General features: G+C 51.1%; 1 pseudogene, besides 2 other annotated features; it reads right to left on the bottom strand.

Moving 5' to 3' along the window:
- Nucleotides 8,430-9,004, bottom strand: RPS10P31 (ribosomal protein S10 pseudogene 31; annotated as a pseudogene).
- Nucleotides 14,420-15,071: an enhancer, noted in NCBI's record as "H3K4me1 hESC enhancer chr22:45665375-45666026 (GRCh37/hg19 assembly coordinates)". NCBI's record gives its function as "activates a minimal SCP1, AML or CMV promoter by ChIP-STARR-seq in naive H9 embryonic stem cells {active_cell/tissue: H9 hESC(naive)}" and the evidence as "EXISTENCE:reporter gene assay evidence [ECO:0000049][PMID:30033119]".
- Nucleotides 15,262-15,491: a silencer, noted in NCBI's record as "silent region_13879". NCBI's record gives its function as "represses an Ori minimal core promoter by ATAC-STARR-seq in GM12878 lymphoblastoid cells {active_cell/tissue: GM12878}" and the evidence as "EXISTENCE:reporter gene assay evidence [ECO:0000049][PMID:35858748]".

Raw genomic sequence — 19,324 nt, 5'->3', positions numbered from 1 at the left:
TGATATCCTGGAAAACGAAGTCCAGGCCTGGGAGCTATCCAGAGACCCTAGTATGACGCCTAGTATGACCCCTTCGGTTCACAGGTACAAGCCAAGGCCCGGGAGGCTGGGGGGTGGGGCAGGGGGTAAGTATTGGAGCGTGGTGGGGGGCGCGGGGACAGGGACTCACCCCCGGCCGCGCTTGGTCTCCTGGAGACACTGAGGCTGGTGGAACCCAGGAGTCCAGTGCTCAGCCCAGGGCTGCCTCCAAAGGGATGGAGCAGGGTGTTAATGCCTACTTCTTAAAGGGGCGTTTGAAAATTATGATGGACTCCTCACCATGACTGTGCGGTTCCCTCCATCACAAGAATCTGTGCACATCTCTGGATGCACCTTAAATCAATTTTACATTTAAGAAATAAAAGTAAGTCAACAAGGATAGGAAAAAAACAACAGAAGAGGGGCAAGGAGGCTCATGCCTGTAATCCCAACACTTTGGGAGGTCAAGATAGGAGGATCCCTTGAGGCCAGGAGCTAGAGACCATCCTGGGCATCATAGTGAGACCCCATCTCTACCAAAAAAAAAAAAAAAAAAATTAGCTCAGCCTAGTGGGGCATGCCTGTAGTCCCAGGATTGCTTGAGCCCAGGAGGTCGAGGCTACAGTGAACTATGATCATGCCACTTTGAGCTATGATTAAAGCTGCAATAACAGAGCCAGACCCTGTCTCTTAGAAAAAAGATAAAGAAAATCAACAGAAACTAATTAATCTCTGTATGACGTTGATGACATAACCTCACTTGCAGAAAAAGAATAAAACGATCTGAGTAATTATAGAGCTGGGTTGTCCAGGGGTACCTCCTTAGTGGAGTACACTCTAAGAACTGGGAGGCCTGTGACAGAACCCCAAACCTCACTAGTGACTTTGTTATTGGCAGTGGGGAGGGCGGAGCCATTCCGAAGCAACTTTGGGTTATCCTAGGATTGGTGGTACCAGAACCCAGATTCTCACTGTAGGATGAGGGAGATTTGGAATGGAGGAAGGAAGCACATGAGGTCAGTGTGTCCCATTATTGGGGATGTTCCATTTCATCATTTGGTAAAGTTGGTATCTCTGGATTAATGTATGTCTTGTTCCCTAAAAATCTTTTTTTTCTTTTTTTTTTTGGGGGGGACGGAGTCTTGCTCTGTCACCCAGGCTGGAGTGCAGTGGCGTGATCTCGGCTCACTGCAAGCTCCACTTCCCACGTTCACGCCATTCTTCTGCCTCAGCCTCCCGAGTAGCTGGGACTACAGGCACCTGCCACCATGCCTGGCTGATATTTTGTATTGTTTTAGTAGAGACGGGGTTTCGCTGTGTTAGCCAGGATGGTCTCAATCTCCTGACCTTGTGATCCACGCACCTCAGCCTCCCAAAGTGCTGGGATTACAGGCGTGAGCCACCGCGCCCGGCCCTTGATCCCTAAAAATCTTTCCCCAGCTGGATGCGGTGGCTCACGCTTGTAATCCCAGCACTTTGAGAGGCCGAGGTGGGCAGATCATGAGGTCAGGAGTTTGAGACCAGCCTGGCCAACACAGTGAAACCCCTTCTCTACTAAATATACAAAAAAACCCAAAAAACTAGCCAGGCGTGGTGGCAGGCGCCTGTAGTCCCAGCTACTTGGACATCCATGTCCCGCCCAAAAGGTTTAACTTGAATCTCATCAATAGGAAACCATCAGACAGTTCTCAGCCTTTTGTTTTGTTTTGCTTCTGTCTTTCCTGATGTGAACATTTGCAAAGCATCCAGTCCAGCTGGTTTGCAGAAAGTCCCTGCATGTGGATCTGTCTGATGGTTTCCTATTGATGAAATTCAAGTTAAACCTTTTGGGCAGGACATGGTCATGACGGTGAGTTCTAATCAGTGCTACTTGGGAGGCTGAGGCAGGAGAATCTCTTGGACCCAGGAGGTGGAGGTTTCAGTGAGCTGAGATCGCGCCGTGCCACTGTAATCCAGCCTGGGTGACACAGTGAGACTCCGTCTCAAAAAAAAAAAAAAAGCAAGCTGAATGTATGACTTCCATTATTTATTTTGTGCTCAAATGTTCCCAGGCCTGGCTGTTGGCAGCTCCTTCCAGCAGCTCTGTGCTAGCTGCTTTCACGCTCCCACCATTCTTTGAGAACCTCTTTACTTTCTGGCACAATAAAATGTCCCGGGCTCCTCTTGACATTCCCTGTCCCAGCTCTGGATTCAGCCATCTCTCCAAGGGGCACTGGTGCCTTTCACTGGAGACTGGAGTTTAAGATCTAACAGTGGCAAGGTGCCTCTTGCAACTGGGTATTACTGCTTCTCGGTCTGTCTCAATGAACCTAGTTTTTTCTTTTTCTTTCTTTCTTTCTTTCTTTCTTTCTTTCTTTCTTTCTACCTTCCTTCCTTCCTTTCTTTCCTTCCTTCTTTCTTTCTCCTTCCTTCCTTCTTTCTTTCTCCTTCCTTCCTTCCTTTCTTCCTTCCTTCTTTCTTTCTTTCTCCTTCCTTCCTTCCTCTCTTTCTTCTTTCTTTGTCCTTCCTTCTTTCTTTCTTTTTTTTTTTTTTTTTTTTGAGACAGTTTTACTCTATTGCCCAGGCTGGAGTGCAATGGGGTGATCTTGGCTCACTGCAACTTCCACCTCCTGGGTTCAAGAGATTCTCCTGCCTCAGCCACCCACCTGAGTAGCTGGAACTACAGGCGCACGCCACCATGCCCAGCTAATTTTTTTGTATTTTTAGTAGAGACGGGGTTTCACCATGTGGCCAGGCTGGTCTCGAACTCCTGACCTCAAGTGATCCACCCGCCTCAGCCTCCCAAAGTGCTGGGATTACAGGCCTGTGCCTGGCCAGCCTTTTTCTTTTCTTTTCACTTAAAAATCTTGTTTTAGTAATTTTTTTCCATAACTAATTACAAATAACAAAACACCAGCATTTTCCTTCTTCCATTCCAAATCTCCCTCATCCTACAGTGAGAATCTGGGTTCTGGTACCACCAATCCTAGGATAACCCAAAGTTGCTTCACAATGGCTCCGCCCTCCCCACTGCCAATAACAAAGTCACTAGTGAGGTTTGGGGTTCTGTCACAGGCCTCCCAGTTCTTAGAGTGTACTCCACTAAGGAGGTACCCCTGGACAACCCAGCTCTATAATTACTCAGATCGTTTTATTCTTTTTCTGCCAGTGAGGTTATGTCATCAACGTCATACAGAAATTAATTAGTTTCTGCTGATTTTCTTTATCCTTTTTCTAAGAGATAGGGTCTGGCTCTGTTATTGCAGCTTTAATCATAGCTCAAAGTGGCAAGATCATAGTTCACTGTAGCCTCGACCTCCTGGACTCAAGCAATCCTGGGACTACAGGCATGCACCACCAGGCTGAGCAAGTTTTTTTTGATTTTTTTTTTTTTGGTAGAGATGGGGTCTCACTATGTTGCCCAGGATGGTCTCTAGCTCCTGGCCTCAAGGGATCCTCCCAGCTTGCATGTGGATAAAGTGTCATGATACCTGAAACTAACATATATATGAGATTCGAGAGAAAAAGAGAAAGTAAATTTAGTGTAATGTTAGCAATTGGTAAATAAGTATGAGTATTTACTGTAGTGTTCTTGAAATGTTTCTGTAGGTTTGACATTTTTCAAAGTGAAAATGTTGGGGGACAGAGTCTGTTCTCTGCCACAGAAATGCACTGTTCCCCTCTTTGGGTGTCGGTTTACCTTCTAGAAAGTGGGGAGGGAGTTTGGTCACCTCTCAGCCCTGACATGCAGAGAGCGGATGATCAGATCCTTATCTTCAGCACACAGAAAATGTCCCAGAGGTAAGGAACTCTTGAACAGGGCTGCGGTTTTCTTCCAAGAATTTTTATAGACTGACATTTCTTGTTCAACAATTGTTTGTGAACCTGGTTGTGAACCTGCAGTTTATCAGAGGCCAGCAGGGTTGATTTTCTTTTTTTTGAGATGGAGTCTTGCTCTCTCACCCAGGCTGGAGTCCAGTGGGGCGATCTCGGCTCACTGCACGCTTCGCCTCCCAGGTTCAAGCCATTCTCCTGCCTCAGCCTCCCAAGTAGCTGGGACTATAGGTGTGCACCACCACATCTGGCTAATTTTTGTATTTTTAGTAGAGACAGGGTTTCACCATGTTGTCCAGGCTGGTCTTGAACTTCTAACCTCAAGATCCACCAGCCTCAGCCTCCCAAAGTGCAAGGATTACAGGTGTGAGCCACCGTGCCTGGCCTCAGCAGGGTTGATCTTAAAGGCCCAGCTCAGAATCACCTGTGAGAGGAAGTAGGCCCAGGAAATTGTTTTCTCCAAAACGCTGCAGTTTCTTTAAAAAAAAAACAAAAACCCCAAAAAGTCCTCTTGTCTCTTGCCTTGCCCAAATATGGGGAGAACATTTGAAGGAAAATGTTAAAACAATAATCTGCAAAGGCCCAAAACATGTTCTGGAAAGAAAAAAATCTTAGATTTATAAACAAATGTCCACTTCAAAGATTGCTGACTTTTGTTTGGCTCATTCTGAAGAGGGGGAAGTACAGGAGAAATGAGTCATGGTGGGAAATTCACTTGGGAGAGACCATTGCTTGTGTCAGTGGAGGGGAAACAGGAGAAAAAGGGGGCCTGACACCTGCCAGTGTCCCTTGCTGCTCCACGTGCACTTTCCTAAGTTTATTTGTTTTTTTCTTTTTTTTTTTTTTTTGAGACAAGATCTCTCTGCGTCACCCAGGCTGGAGTGCACTGGCATGATCCCTGGTCACTGCAGCCTCGACCTCGCTGAGCTCAAGCTATCCTCCCACCCCAGCCTTTCTAGTAGCTGGGATTACAGGCAGGGGCGACCACACCCAGCTAATTTTTGTATTTTTATAGAGGTGGGATTTCACCATGTTTCCCAGACTAGTCTAAAACTCCCAGGCTCAACTGATCCTCCTGCATCGGCCTCCAAAGTGCTAGGATTACAGGCATGAGCCACTGTGCCCAGCCCAAAGTTAAAAAAAAATTTTTTTTAATGTTTCCTTTTTGATCAGGCCACTTCTAGAGCACTCAGATTCAGTCTGACTTGAGGTCATTTATACATCTAGATCCATCAGACCGTCCTTCTGAACCCTGGCCTGGAGGATGTGTTTGTCTGAGGCCAGAGAGGCAGGAAGTTTTGCGATGTGAAAGGTTAAGCAAAGCCCAGCCCTTCACAGACCTCCTTTGAATCTGAAGCATGGGGAATTTATGGGCTGGAAATTCTTGACCCAGAAATGTCTCTCCAAACACTGAAGAGCCCGGGTCCAGTCGGTTTCCATGACTCCTCTCTTCAGAAGTCAGAGAAGTTGCAGGAATCCCACCACAGCAAGTGCTGGCTTTCATTGTGGGGGCTCTGTCCCAGGACTCTGGAAGTCAAGCTTTTCAGTGCTTTCAGATTCAGCTACTTTATTTATTTATTTAGAGATGGAGCCTTGCTCTGTTGCCCAGGCTGAAGTACAGTGGGGCAATCTCAACTCACTGCAACCTCCGTCTTTCGGGTTCAAGCGATTCTTCTGCCTCAGCCCCCCATGTAGCTGGGATTACAGGTGCGTGCCACCACACCCAGCTGATTTTTGTATTTTTTTTAGTAGAGATGGGGTTTCACCATGTTGGCCAGACTGGTCTTGAACTCCTGACCTCAGGTGATCCACCTGCCTCAGCCTCCCAAAGTGCTGGGATTACAGGTGTGAGCCATTGTGCCCGACCAGAGATTCAGTCACTTTAAAACGAGAAACAAAAACCCCAGTGGAGAAACCCAAGTCCCTGCCTGGTGCTCACTCGTCTATCCTCACTCTGTGATGAGGACGCCCACTTTGCTCTAAGGGGCCCCCACCTGTCTCCCAAGCTCCAGACCCACATTTCCAGCTGCCCGTCCTGCAGAACATGCCCTCCTTGGTGACTCCAAGGGGCCGCGCATGACAGGACTCTCTGAAGAGCCGTGTTCAGCCCTGGCTGTGATTCTCATTGTGGTGGTCCTTACCCTTGGTTTCTTTTTCAGGAAGATGGGGATGCTCAAGGGGTCCTCTTGCAGAGGGGTGGGATGAAGTGCAGTCGTGGGTGTGAATGTGCCCTGTGACTGCGGTGGTGGGCAGTGGCAGGGTCCCCCACATTCCCCAGGTGTCACCACAGCCCTGGGCTCTGTTGGACTAGTCCTGTCTCCTCTGGGCCATCTCTTTCCTTTCAGGCCCCTCTCACGTAGAATCCAAACTTACTCAACAGGTGTTTGTTGAGTGCCTACTGCGTGCTGGGCACACGGATCTTCCCAGTGACTCTGGAACCCACCTCTTCCATTCTGATGCTGCCACCGCTGCCTGGCACGGTGCATTAGTGTTCCAGGGTTGATATAATGAGTAAGGCAGACCGGGTGGCTTACACAGAAATTCACGTTCTCACAGTTCCAGAGACTGGAAGTCCAAGATCAAGGTGCTGGCTAATCAAGATCAAGGGTTCTTCCTGAGCCCACTCTTCCTGGCTTGCAGATGGCAGTCTTCTCCCTGTGTCCTCACATGGGCTTTCCTCTGTGTGTGTGTGTCCTAATCTCCGTTTTTTGTTTGTTTATTTGTTTTTTTAAGAGACAAGGTCTCTTTCTGTTGCCCAGGCTGGAGTCCAGTGGCACGATCATAGCTCACTGCAGCCTCCCGCTCCTGGGCTCAAGCGATCCTCCTGTCTCAGCCTCCCAGATAGCTTGGATCACAGGCATGTGCCACCACACGTGGCTTATTTTTTTTTAATTTATTTTTGAGACAGAGTCTCACTCTGTCACCAGGCTGGAGTGCACTGAAACCTCTGCCTCCCGGGTTCAAGCAATTCTCTGCCTCAGCCTCCCGAGTACCTGGGATTACAGGTGCCTGCCACCATGCCCAGCTAATTTTTGTATTTTTTTTTTTTTTAGTAGAGACAGGGTTTCACCACTTGGCCAGGCTGGTCTTGAACTCCTGACCTCATGGTCCACCCGCCCTGACCTCCCAAAGTGCTGTGATTACAGGTGTGAGCCACTGCGCCTGCCGCCACCTGGCTTATTTTTAAATTTTTGTAGAGACAAGAGCTCACTTTGTTGCCCAGGCTGGTCTTGAACTTCTGACCTCAAGCAATCCTCCCACCTCAGCCTCCCAAAGTGCTGGGATTACAGGTGTGAGCTACCACGCCCAGCCCACTAACCTCCTCTTGTTATTTATTTATTTATTTATTTTGTTTGCTTGTTTGAGATGGAGTCTGGCTCAGTCGTCCAGGCTAGAGTGCAATGGTGCGATCTCGGCTTACTCCAAACCTCTGCCTCCTGGGTTCAAGTAATTATCCTGCCTCAGCCTCCTGAGTAGCTGGGATTATAGGTGTGTGCCACCATGCCCGGCTAATTTTTTTTTATTTTTAGTAGAGACGGGGTTTCTCCATGTTGGCCAGGCTGGTCTCAAACTCCTGACCTCAGGTGATCCGCCCGCCTCAGCCTCTCAAACTGCTGGGATTACAGGTGTGAGCCACCGCGCCCAGCCTTAACCTCCTCTTGTTATAAGAATACCAGTCATATTGGATTAGGCCCACCCTAATGACCTCATGTTAGCTTAATTACCCTTTTAAAGACCTGTCTCCAAATACAGGCACTTACTGAGGTACTAAAGCTTAGGACTTTGACAGATGAGTTCTGGGGGGTGTGGTTGAGCCCTCACACATGTAATTGGCCCCCTCCACACTTTCATGCCTGGACTAATAACATAATAACAATTGACCCCACGTGTCAGGGACTGTGCTAGGGGTTTTACACATTTCAACTTATCTGTCACATCTGGTCTGGCAGGCAGGTACTGTTATTACCTCCATTACCTTCAGATGAAGTGAGGCTCAAGGCAGTTGAATAACTGCCCGCTAAAACGCGAGCTCTAACCGCGGCACCCGCACAGTGCCTGACCCTGCCGAGATGGACAGGTAGACAGACCCAGCGTCCTCCAGGTAAGACACAGGGAGTAGGGAGGTGGGTTTTAAACCCAGGCCATGGGACCCTGGTGTCCACACCCTGTCTTCTACGGAGACTGGCCTCCTACTGGGTCTCCCTGTTCATGCATCACTCCTCTGATGCGTCCCCACCCAGAAGCCAGGGTAACATTTCTTTTTTAAAAAAGTTTCTCTGGGTCGGGCGCCGTGACTCACGCCTGTAATCCCAACATTTTGAGAGGGCGAGAAGGGCGGATCACCTGAGGTCAGAACTTCAAGACCAGCTTGACCAACATGGTGAAACCCCATCTCTACTAAAAATACAAAAAAAATTAGACGGGCATGGTGGCAGGCGCCTGTAATCCCAGCTACTTGGGAGGCTGAGGCAGGAGAATCACTTGAACTCGGGAGGTGGGGAGGTTGCAGTGAGCTGGGATCACATTGCTGCCCTCCAGCCTGGGCAACAGAGTGAGACTCTGTCTCAATAAAAAAAATAAAAAATAAATAAAATAAAAAGTTTTTCTGGCTATAAGTTTATTCAATGCAAAATAATCCTCTCCAGTTTTACTGACATGGCTGACCATGTCCACGATCAAATCTGCCTCTAAACTTGGTTGCTGACCCAGCCCCAGCCTCGGCTTTCTGGTCTGCACCAGGAGGCACAGTGCCCCATCTGTTGGTCTCTGTCAGCTTCCCCTCTTGTGAGTCTTGTAGGTCGACTGCCCTCCAGACCTAGCCGAGGCCTGCCAGTCTCTGGAGGGCTGCAGTGTGGGGTGGCAGGCACAGTCTCAGGGGGTAGATGGAGGTCCTCACGGATACTCTGGATACCCTCACGGGTAAGGTGCCAGTAGAAATGTCTCCAGGCAAACTGTTCCTCCCTGTGGCCTTGGGACTTGAGGGACTGCATGGCCTTCATGATGTGAAGGTTGGGCACATTCTTGTCTGCCAGCTCCGGGTGCCTAGGCAGGTGGACACCCTCCTTAGCCACCATGACTCCCTGCTTAAAAAGGAGTTCATAAACGGCAATCTGGTTCTTCCTAGGCATCAACATCAATGCAGCTGCAAGTTCCGGGGCCGCAGCTGGAAAGGAAGGGGCAAGCGTGGTTCTGCGTCTCATCTGGGCCCCAGAGTGACATTTCTAAAGCGCAAGTCTGGTTGTCACTTTCCTCATGTAAAGCCCTTCAAGGTCACCCACTGTCCTCTGAATAAAGCCCACGCTTCCGGCCAGCCGCAGTGGTTCACCCCTGTAATCCCAGCACTTTGGGAGGCCAAGGAGGGCAGATCATGAGGTCAGGTGATCGAGACCATCCTGGCCAACATGGTGAAACCCCCGTCTCTACTAAAAATACAAAAATTAGCCAGGTGTGGAGGCGTGCACCTATAGTCCCAGCTACTCAGGAGGCTGAGGCAGGAGAATTGCTTGAACCTGGAAGGCGGAGGCTGCAGTGAGCCGAGATCGCACCACTGCACTCCAGCCTGGGTGACAGAGCAAGACTCCATCTCAAAAATAAAATAAAATAAAATAAAAAAATAAAGCCCACGCTTCCTACCCCAGTGTGCAAGGCCCTGGTGGCCAGTCAGCTCCCAGCAACCTCTCCACCTCCCCTCCTTCCTGTCTTACCTCATTCCCTGGCACCAGCCCCACTGAACACTGACAGGTCCCTAAGCTCACCCAGCTCTCTCTTGCCCTTTGGTGGCTCCAAGGATGAGGACTTTTGCAGTGCCCTCCAACTCTGACATCAATAGTCGAAGCCCCCCACCCCTGCCTTGAAGCTCTTTTTATACTTGCTGTGCCCACTGCCTGGGGTGCCCATGCTGCACGTTCCATCATGGAAGCCCCCCATTCTCCAAGGCCTGGCCCAAATCCTCCTCCTCCCGTGTCCTGCATAGGGCACATTCTCAGCAGTGTTTGATGAATGAATGAATGAGTAGATTTTCTTTCTTTCTTTCTTTCTTTTTTTTTTTTTGAGACAGAGTTTCACTCTTGTTGCCCAGGCTGGAGTCCAACGGCGCGATCTTGGCTCACCGCAACCTCCACCTCCTGGGTTCAAGCGATTCTCCTGCCTCAGCTTCCCAAGTAGCTGGGATTACAGGTATGCACCACCACACCTGGCTAATTTTGTATTTTTAGAAGAGACGGGGTTTCACCATGTTGGTCAGGCTGGTCTCGAACTCCCAAGCTCAGGTGATCCACCCTCCTCGGCCTCCCAAAGTGCTGGGATTACAGGCACGAGCCACCGTGCCAGGCCAAACAGGTAAATTTTCTAATTAACATGCGTGGAAGACGGAAGGCTCTTTCTAGGTGCTAAGTTCGTCTTGGATCACACCAGATAGGTAAAGGAGGGAGCAGCATGGCGTGGTGCAGGCTGGCACCGGTGCGGGCCGGAGGAAAGTTCTCGTGGTGGATGTATTTTGAAGGTTGGGCCCACAGGACTTTGCTGATGGACTGGAGGTGGGGTGAGAGTGAGGGAGGAGTCAAGGGGGACCCTAGTTCTAGCCTGAGGAGCCAAAAGGATGGAGTTGGGGAGCTCCCAACTGAGATGAGATGGGGAAGAGCAGATTTGGAGGGGAGAAGGGATTAAGACTCCTTTCTACAGCTGAGGGTCTGGAGCCCAGAGAGGGGAAGTGGCTCGGCCAAGGCTAACAGCTGCTCAGTGAGGCAGTCAGATCTCTGTGTTCTTCTCCTCCTGGCAGCGTCTACGTTGGGATCCATGAGGCTGACTTCCTGATGAGGGTCCCATCCCTGGCTTCGGAGGCAGCTTCTCCCACTAAGAAGTGGCGGAAGGTGGCGGGCTGGATTTGCAACCTGATTTTAGCAAACATCCCCCAGGCCCACCGACTGCCCGGTCCATGCTAAGCACAGGGGCCTGAGGACAATGGGACCCATGGGGCCCAGGAGAAGTCCTGTGTCAAGTCCAAAGGGCGGTGAGGTGCGATAGCAGGGGTGGGGTGTCCTCTCAGTCAGCAGCAGTAAACTGGTTTGTCTGTCTCTGGAATGAAGCTCAGATCAAACATTAATTTCTCCTTATCTGGGAGATCTGGAAGCCAGCGGGGATGAGGGCCTTTCCTGTCCCCTGAACAGAGTCTGTTGGCTCAGAATTTCTCTCTCTCCACCATGCGGACCACTGACCCCTCACCCTGAGCCAGTCCTGGGTCGGGGGTTCAGAGCCAGGAGGACTCGTGCAGGCCCCGGGTGGAAGCAGGAGCACCTCACAGCTCCCAAACAGTGCCCCTTCAACCCTGTAGCAACTCGAGGAGACTGTCCATGCCACCCCCGCTTTACAGAGGAGAAAAATGGGGTTACAACGCTGCAGTGATTTTTCCCTGAGTCTCCTGCCAGATCTCTGGATACACTTTTTTTTTTTTTTTTTTTTGAGATGGAGTCTCGCTTTGTTGCCCAGCCTAGAGTGCAGTGGTGCGATCTCGGCTCACTGCAGCTCTGCCTCCCGGGTTCACGCCATTCTCCTGCCTCAGCCTTCCAAGTAGCTGGGACTACAGGTGCCCGCCACCACGCCCGGCTAATTTTTTTGTATTTTTTAGTAGAGACGGGGTTTCACCATGTTTGCCAGGATGGTCTCGATCTCTTGACCTCGTGATCTGCCTGCCTTGGCCTCCTAAAGTGCTGGGATTACAGGCGTGAGCCACGGCACCCAGCCCAGATACATTCTTTTAGAAGAGAAGGGGTCTCACTATGTTGCGCTGGCTGGTGTCGAACTCCTGAGCTCAAGTGACCCTCCCACCTGGGCCTCCTGAAGTGCTGGGATTACAGGCGTGAGCCACTGGACCCAGACAAAAACTGAATGGATGCTGTGATCCCGAGTCCCGTTTCAGGAGTTCTTGTGGATGGAGGGTTGGGGTGGGCACTCCTAGGCCCCAGTGATAGCTGGACACTAGGAGCCTGGACTCTGGGCCTTGGTGTATTTTTACCGTTGCCCACCCCCATCCTGCGTGGTCCATCCCAGGCAGTGCCTGACCAGCGGCAGGGGCCTCTATGTGAGTCAGATCCACCCCCAAGTGGTTTTGGTGAAGAGACCAAGGCTCAGAGGGAAGCTCAGAGTCCAGCCACCAGCACGGCCCCAGCAGGGCTGGCCTATTTTACTTTATTTTTTTAGAGGCAGGGTCTTGCTCTGTCACCCAGGCTGGGGTGCAGTGGCCCAAACATAGCTCACTCCAGCCTCGACCTCCTGGGCTCAAGTAATCCTCCCGCCTCAGTCTCCTGCGTAGCTGGGACTACGGGCGCATACCATGGGGTCTTGCTTTATTGCCCATGCTGGTCTCGAACTCCTAGCTTCAAACAAGCTTCCCACCTTGGCCTCCCAGAGTTTTGGGATTATAAGCCTGAGCCACCATGTCTGTACACGACTGGCTTTAAAATCGTATTTTTGCCCCATTTCTGCCCCAGCTTCCCCATCTACAAAACAGGCGTGCTTATTTACACAAATGTGTATCAAACCACAATCCTCTCTGCTGCCTCTCCCAGCTCAGACACAGACCACTCCTGACTCGGTCATTTCTGACGTTGTCCTTTGGCTGCTAGTTCCTATTTTTGGAACATTCTGCCAGAAACCCGAGCTCCAGAACTAGTTCCATGTCCCTGTCCCCACTCAACCCTTAACAGCCGCCAGGCTTTAAGTCCTAACAAACTTGCTCACATGGGCTGTGAATGCCTCCAGCTGTCCCGGGCGGTTTCCTGGGGAGGCTGGGAGGCATGAAGGTTAAGCCTAAAGGACTCGCCTCTGGGGTCTTGGGTAGGGCGCTTTGCCTCTCTGCACCGTATCCACATTCGAAAATGATAACCATCGCTTCTCGGCCTTTTGGCTAAGACCAAATGAAAATGGTAACAGTCTCTCCCTTGTGAATCAGCTCTTAGGATTAAATAATGCACACAACAATACCCAATTGTGAAGATTAAATGGGGCGGTGCACATCACAAGTGCTTGGTGACTGAATGCTGGGCCTTTGCTTGTTTAGTGGGACCTTGCTTCAGACAACCTGCACTGATGGATGAAGCACACCAAGGGGTGGGGCAGAGGGTGCCTTTTGGGAAGAAGCTGATCTCTCACTGCCCCTCAAATCAGTCTGTGTGGCCAAGCCTCTCCTTTCTCTAGAACTGCACTGTCTCACACTATAGCCGCTAGACACACATGCCTGTTTAACATTAATTAAAATTAAATTTCAAAATTCAGTTTTTGGCTGGGTTTGGTGGCTCATGCCTGTAATCCCAGCACTTTGGGAGGTTGAGGTGGGAGGATTACTTAAGCTCAGTAGTTCAAGACCAGCCTGGGCAACATAGTAAGACCCCTTCTCTACTAAAAATTCAAAAAAAATTAGCTGGGCATGGTGGCACACACCTGTAATCCCAGCTACTTGGGAGGCTGAGGCAGGAGAATTGCTTGAACCCAGGAAGCAGAGGTTGTGGTGAGCTGAGATTGCACCACTGCAGTCCAGTCTGGGTGACACAGTCAGACTCTGTCTCAAAAAAAAAAAAAAAAAAGAGAGAGAGTGAGAGCGCAAGCTCTCCCTAATGAAGGCACTAATCCCCTCATTATGCCCCCCCCCTCGTGACCTCATTGAACCTTAACTACCTCCTTATAGGTTCTATCTCCAAATACAGGTGCTTGGGGCTTCAGTGGACAGATTTAAGGCAGACACAAACATCCAGAGGTTGGGCACGGAGTGGGCAGTGCAGAGGAGGATGCCGGGGCTCAGAGCAGTCAGGTAGTAGGGTCCCCATGACTGGCAGGCAGGTGAGCCAGAATTTGAATCTGAGGCTATTGGAAGCCGATGCCCCCATCCTTAGCCACTGTGTGACACTGCCTCTGGCATATGCATTCATTCATTCATTCATTCATTCATTCACTCATTCACTCAGCCGACACGCGGAGCTCCTGCTTCCTCAAGTCAGGACCTTGACTCCCACCCCAGAATGAAGAGTTCTCACCCAGGAGAGGAGGGCAGCCATGTTCTCCCTTGCCCCCAACAATTCAGCCCTCTCCTCCCTCCAGGAGTTCCGGGTCAGGAGGATGGGGGGGAGGACAAACACAGGTGCATCCCCACCTCAGGGTTACATGAGAGGAGTGTGAGAAAAGAGGGTCTCAGGGACTTCACGCAGTGCTGTCCTGGGGCCAGGCAAGCTTCGCTCCTTTCTCTCCCGCTTCCTTGAGCACATGACAGTGACCCTGAAGGCCTAATAGCACTGCTCACTACTAACCCCTACTGAGCACTTCCTCTGTGGTCCACTCCCTCCTGAGTGCACCACAGGCAGTTTCCCGAATCGTCCTGAGAATCCCAGGGGTGGCTCTGACATCACCATCACACTTTACACATGAAGAAATTGAGGCACAGAGAGGCTGAGTAGTTTACCTAAGGTCACACATCCATGGAGCGTGGAGCTGGAATTTAAACCCAGGCAGTCCGCTTCCCTCTGTGCCTGAACCAGTCACCTGGTGCATGTGTGAGCCTGATGCCAGCACGGGACCCCGGGGAATGAAAGGCTGAGTATTTGCAAGACTTTCTGAAACCACTAAGTCTGCAAGGTTGCAAATGAGTGAGAGATTACTACAGGGATAACTGGAATCTTCTCTATTATTCGTAAGAAAATAGTTTTCAAATATCTTTAAGTACTTTATTATTGCTCACAATATGAAGACAAGTCTCACAAACGATCCCCCACCCCAACTGAACAAGGGAACAGGGAGAGACTGTGAAAAGCGGGGAGGGTGTTAGATGCAAAGGCTGGGCTGCAAGCTGGCCTACTAAGGATCACCTTCAGAGCCCGAGGTTCTGCAGGAGGAAGATTCAGCCCTCAGAAGTTATAGATGGGGGCTGACAGGCTGGGGCAGGAGCCAGGGAGCCCAGTTACTTACTGAGCGTCTGTGGTCCCAGGCTCTAAGCAAAGGTGGGTGGAGGGACAGGACTTCCACCATCGATCATCTGAGTAAGCTGCCTGGGGCTCCCGGCTCCCAGATTTATTCACCTGAAACCCACTCACCACGTGCTAGGATCGTGGGTGACCCAGCCCCATCCCGGCCGGGGGACTCACTGTCCACTGTCCCAGGAGAAGAATACAGAGTGACAGTGTGGCCAGGGGACCTGTAGGAGCCCAAGGGAGGTGCCTGGTTCAGCCTGAGGCTCGGGAAGGCTTGCTGGAGGCGGTGGTGCCTCGACTAGATCTTGAACGGGGAAGGTATTCCGCGTGTTCCCGGTGGAAGGAACAGTATGCACTACGCCGGGAGGTGAGAAGTGCAGGGGGTCGGGTTTGGGTGCAGCCGGGACCGCAAGGGTGGGCCGGGGCCGGGAGAGCAGGGTCCTGGCTGTGGAGCGCGGCTTCGCCGCCCGGGGCCTGCCCCCGCCCCCGCCCCCGCCCCCGCCCCCGCCCCCGCCTCCGCCTCCGCCTACCCAGGCTCCGCCCCCACCTCCTCTCAGCCCCGCCCCGCTGGCGCGTGGAGCCTCGCGTTGGTGTCGGGCGCCCCCTGGCGGCGCAACGCGGGCGGTTCGGCCGGGGAGGGGGCGGTGCCGCGCCCACAGCAAGGCTGACTCCCCCAATTTCTATTAGCATCAGAAGAATGCCCTCTCAGGGGGAAGCAATTGTTTTCGCGTATAATTTCGACACATTTGCCATTATGGCAGCGCAGTCGCGAGATGCTTTTGCTTTATTACTTTTTTTTATAATGGAGGGAGGGTCCCGCCCAGTGTCTAGGGTTCAGGGCCCGCGGCCTCCACGATCCGGGTACGACCACAGGCGGGTGCCCACCCAACTCCATCCTGGCCTTCTTCGCCTCACTTCCAGGGGCTGCAGGGGACACCGAGCTCCTTTTCCTCTCAAAGGTGCAACAAAAACCCAGCGAGCACTGCTGCGTGCCCGGCGCTGCTAGGGACATCAGGAGAGGGCAGAAGCCTGTGCTCCCGGAGTCGCCTTTCAGCAGGGACGCGGTCAGCAAACCCACGGCGCTCTCCTGTGCTGGGAGAGACGAGGGCAGGAGATGGGGCGGGCGAGGGGCGGGAGGAATGGGGGCGGGCGAGGGGGATGGGGGCGGGTGAGGAGTGACGGGGGTGGGGGCGGGTGAGAGGTGAGGGGGGTGGGGGCGGGCCAGGGAGATAGGGGAGGGTGAGGGGTGAGGGAAGCGGGTGAGGGGAGTGGGGCGGGTGACGGGGATGGGGGCGAGTGAGGGGTGAGCGGGTGGAGGCGGGGCTTGCGTCGGTGGCCTCACCAGAAGGGACTGTGCGGGGACCTGGAGGAGGGGACAGAGGGAGGTTGGGGAGACTGGGAAGATCTTCCAGGCAGAGGGAACCTCACCGGCGGCTGTCAGGAGGAGGGAGGGGAGAGGGCTGGGTGATGAGGTCAGCAAGGGGCAGGGGGTGGAGGATGGGGGGCGACGGGGCGGGGCCTGGCAGCCCAGGACGGTTTTGGAGCTCGGGGAAGGTCTGAGCGGAGGGGCAGGGGCAGCGGTTGGAAGGCTGCAGGCTGGCGGGGAGGGAGAGGGGGACAGGAAGCCCAGCAGTGGCGGGGCATGCATCCTCTCCCTTCCACCCCCTCTTTCGGACCCCCTCTCTCCTAGGCTCCCCCACTCAGCTCCCACAGATCCTCTTGCCCCAGGTCCTTCCTCTGTGTGCGGCAGAGGGAAGGACCATGCGTGGACATGGGCGGGAGGATCATTTGAGCCCAGGAGTTCAAGACCAGCCTGGGCAACATAGTGAGACCTCATCTCCACAAAAATAAAAGATTAGCTGGGTGTGGTGGCGCGTGCCTGTAATCCCAGCTACTCGGGAGGCTGAGGCAGGAAGATTGCTTGAGCCCAGGAGTTCAAGGCTACAGTGAGCTATGATAGTGCCCCTGAACTCCAGCCTGGGTGGCAAAGCAAGACCCTGTCTCAAAATAAAATAATAAAATAAAATAAATCACACATATTTGAAGTATACAATTTGATGAGTTTTGAATATAGATGTATATTCTGTGACTCCATCACCACAGTAAGATAATGACCATTTCCGTCACTCCCAAAAGTGTGCCCCTGGCGGGGCCCGGTGGCTCACGCCTGTAATCCCAGCACTTTGGGAGGCTGAGGCAGATGGATCACCTGAGGTCAGGAGTTTGAAACCGGCCTGACCAAACATGGCGAAAACCCGTCTCTACTAAAAATACAAAAATTAGCTGGTGTGGTGGCAGGTGCCTGTAATCCCAGCTACTTCGGAGACTGAGGCAGGAAAATCGCTTGAACGCCGGACGCAGAGGTTGCAGTGAGCCGAGATCGCACCACTGCACTCCAGCCTGTGTGACAGAGTGAGACTCCGTCTCAAAAAAAAAAAAAAAGAAAAGAAAAGAAAAAGAAAAAGTATGTCCTTGTCCCTTTGTAATCCATTCCCTCTTCATCCCCCCTCCCCTCTCCTCCACCCCACCCCCATCCCACCCCCAAGCAACCACTGGTCTGCTTCTGTCACTATAGATGAGACTGAGATTTTCAGAATTTCATGTAAGTGGAATCATAACATGTGTTCTTTTTTGGTCTGGCTTCTTTCACTCAGCATAACTATTTTGGGGTTCATCCATTTTCTTAGATGCCATTAATAGTTCATTCCTTTTTATTGCCGAGTAGTATCCAATTGTAGGATATGCAACTGGATATGCAGTTAGCTGATCCGTTCACCTGTTAATGGGCGCTTTTAAAATTTTAGCTCTAAAGCTGCTATGAACCTTCCTGTTCAAGTCTCCATGTGGACATGTGCTCTCATTTCAGTTGGATAAATACCTAAGAGTACAATGGCTGGGCCATGTGGCAGGCATGTGTTCAACTTTTTAAGAAACTGTCAAATTGTCTTTCAGTGGATATCCATTTACATTCCCACCAGCAGTGCGTGAGAATTCCAGTTCCTCCACATCCTCACCAACACTTAGTGTGTTCAGTCTTCTTCATTTTGGCCATTCTGGTATATGTATAGTGGTGTCTCACTGTAACATCTCATTCCCTAGGGAATCTTTTTTTTTTTTTTTTTTTTTTTTTTGAGACAGAGTTTTGTTCTTGTTGCCCTGGCTGGAGTGCAATGGCGCAATCTTGGCTCATTGCAACCTCCGCCTCCTAGGTTCAAGTGATTCTCCTGCCTCAGCCTCCCGAGTAGCTGGGATTATAGGCATGCAGCATTACACCAGGCTAATTTCTGTATTATTATTATTATTATTTTGAGATGGAGTCTCACTCTGTTACCCAGGTTAGAGCGCAGTGGCGTGATCTCAGCTCACTGCAACCTCTGCCTTATGAGTTCAAGTGATTCTCCTGCCTCAGCCTCCCAAGTAGCTGGGATTACAGGCACCTGCCACTGCGCACAGCTAATTTTTGTATTTTTAGTAGAGACAGGGTTTCACCATCTTGGCCAGGCTGGTCTCGAACTCCTGACCTCGTGATCCACCTGCCTCGGCCTTCCAAAGTTCTGGGATTACAGGCGTGAACCACTTCGCCCAGCCAATTTTTGTATTTTTAGTAGAGACAGGGTTTCACCATGTTGGATGGGCTGGTCTCAAACTCCTGACCTTGTGATCCTCCCGCATCGGCCTCCCAAAGTGCTGGGCTTACAGGTGTGAGCCACTGTGCCCGCCCAGAACTCATGGTTTTGAACTTCTTTTCATTTTCGTCATCTGTATATCTTATTTGGTGAAAAGTTTATTCAAATTTTTTGCCCATTAAAAATAAAAAAAGAATGGGTTGTTATTGTTTACTATAAGAGTTTTTTTAATATTCTAGATCATGTATTTTCTTCTTCTTCTTCTTTTTTTTTTTGACAAGGTCTCATTCTGTTGCCCGGGCTGGAGTGCAGTGGCTCATTGCAGCCTCGACCTCCAGGGCTCGGGTGAACTTCCCACCACAGCCTTCTGGGTAGCTGGGACCACAGGCATGCACCACCACACCCGGCTAGTTTTTTTACTTTTTTGTAGATAACAGAGTTTCACCATATTGTCCAGATTGGTCTCAAACTCCTGAGCTCAAGTGATTTGCCTGCCTCTGCCTCTGAAAGCGCTGGGATTACAACAGGCGTGTACCACTGTGTCTGGCCTGATCATGCATTTTCAATGAAGGCAAAATTGCCCCCAATGGGAAAAAATTGGTTCTCGTGAAATGAAAAAATTGTGCTCTTTATGTACAAAGCACAATAAACGCACAATACATAAACGGGTACCTGTGTATTAAATTTCCATGGGGGTGATTAGGAAGGATTGTCTAAAAATATTCCTTGGATGAGGAAGGGAATGGAAAAAAGCTGAGAAAGTGTTCGAGATACAAGTCCTTTGTTGGATGTATGCTTTGCAAAAACCAAAAAATTTTAATTTGGATAAAGTCCAATTTATCAATTATCCCTTTTATAATTTGTGCTTTTTGTGTGCTATTTCAGAAGCCTCTGTCTAACTCAAGGTTACTAAGA

This window comes from Homo sapiens, chromosome 22 (assembly GCF_000001405.40).
Source record: "Homo sapiens chromosome 22, GRCh38.p14 Primary Assembly".
NCBI classification, from domain to species: Eukaryota; Metazoa; Chordata; class Mammalia; order Primates; family Hominidae; genus Homo; species Homo sapiens.
This window is presented reverse-complemented; position numbering and strand designations above follow the sequence as displayed.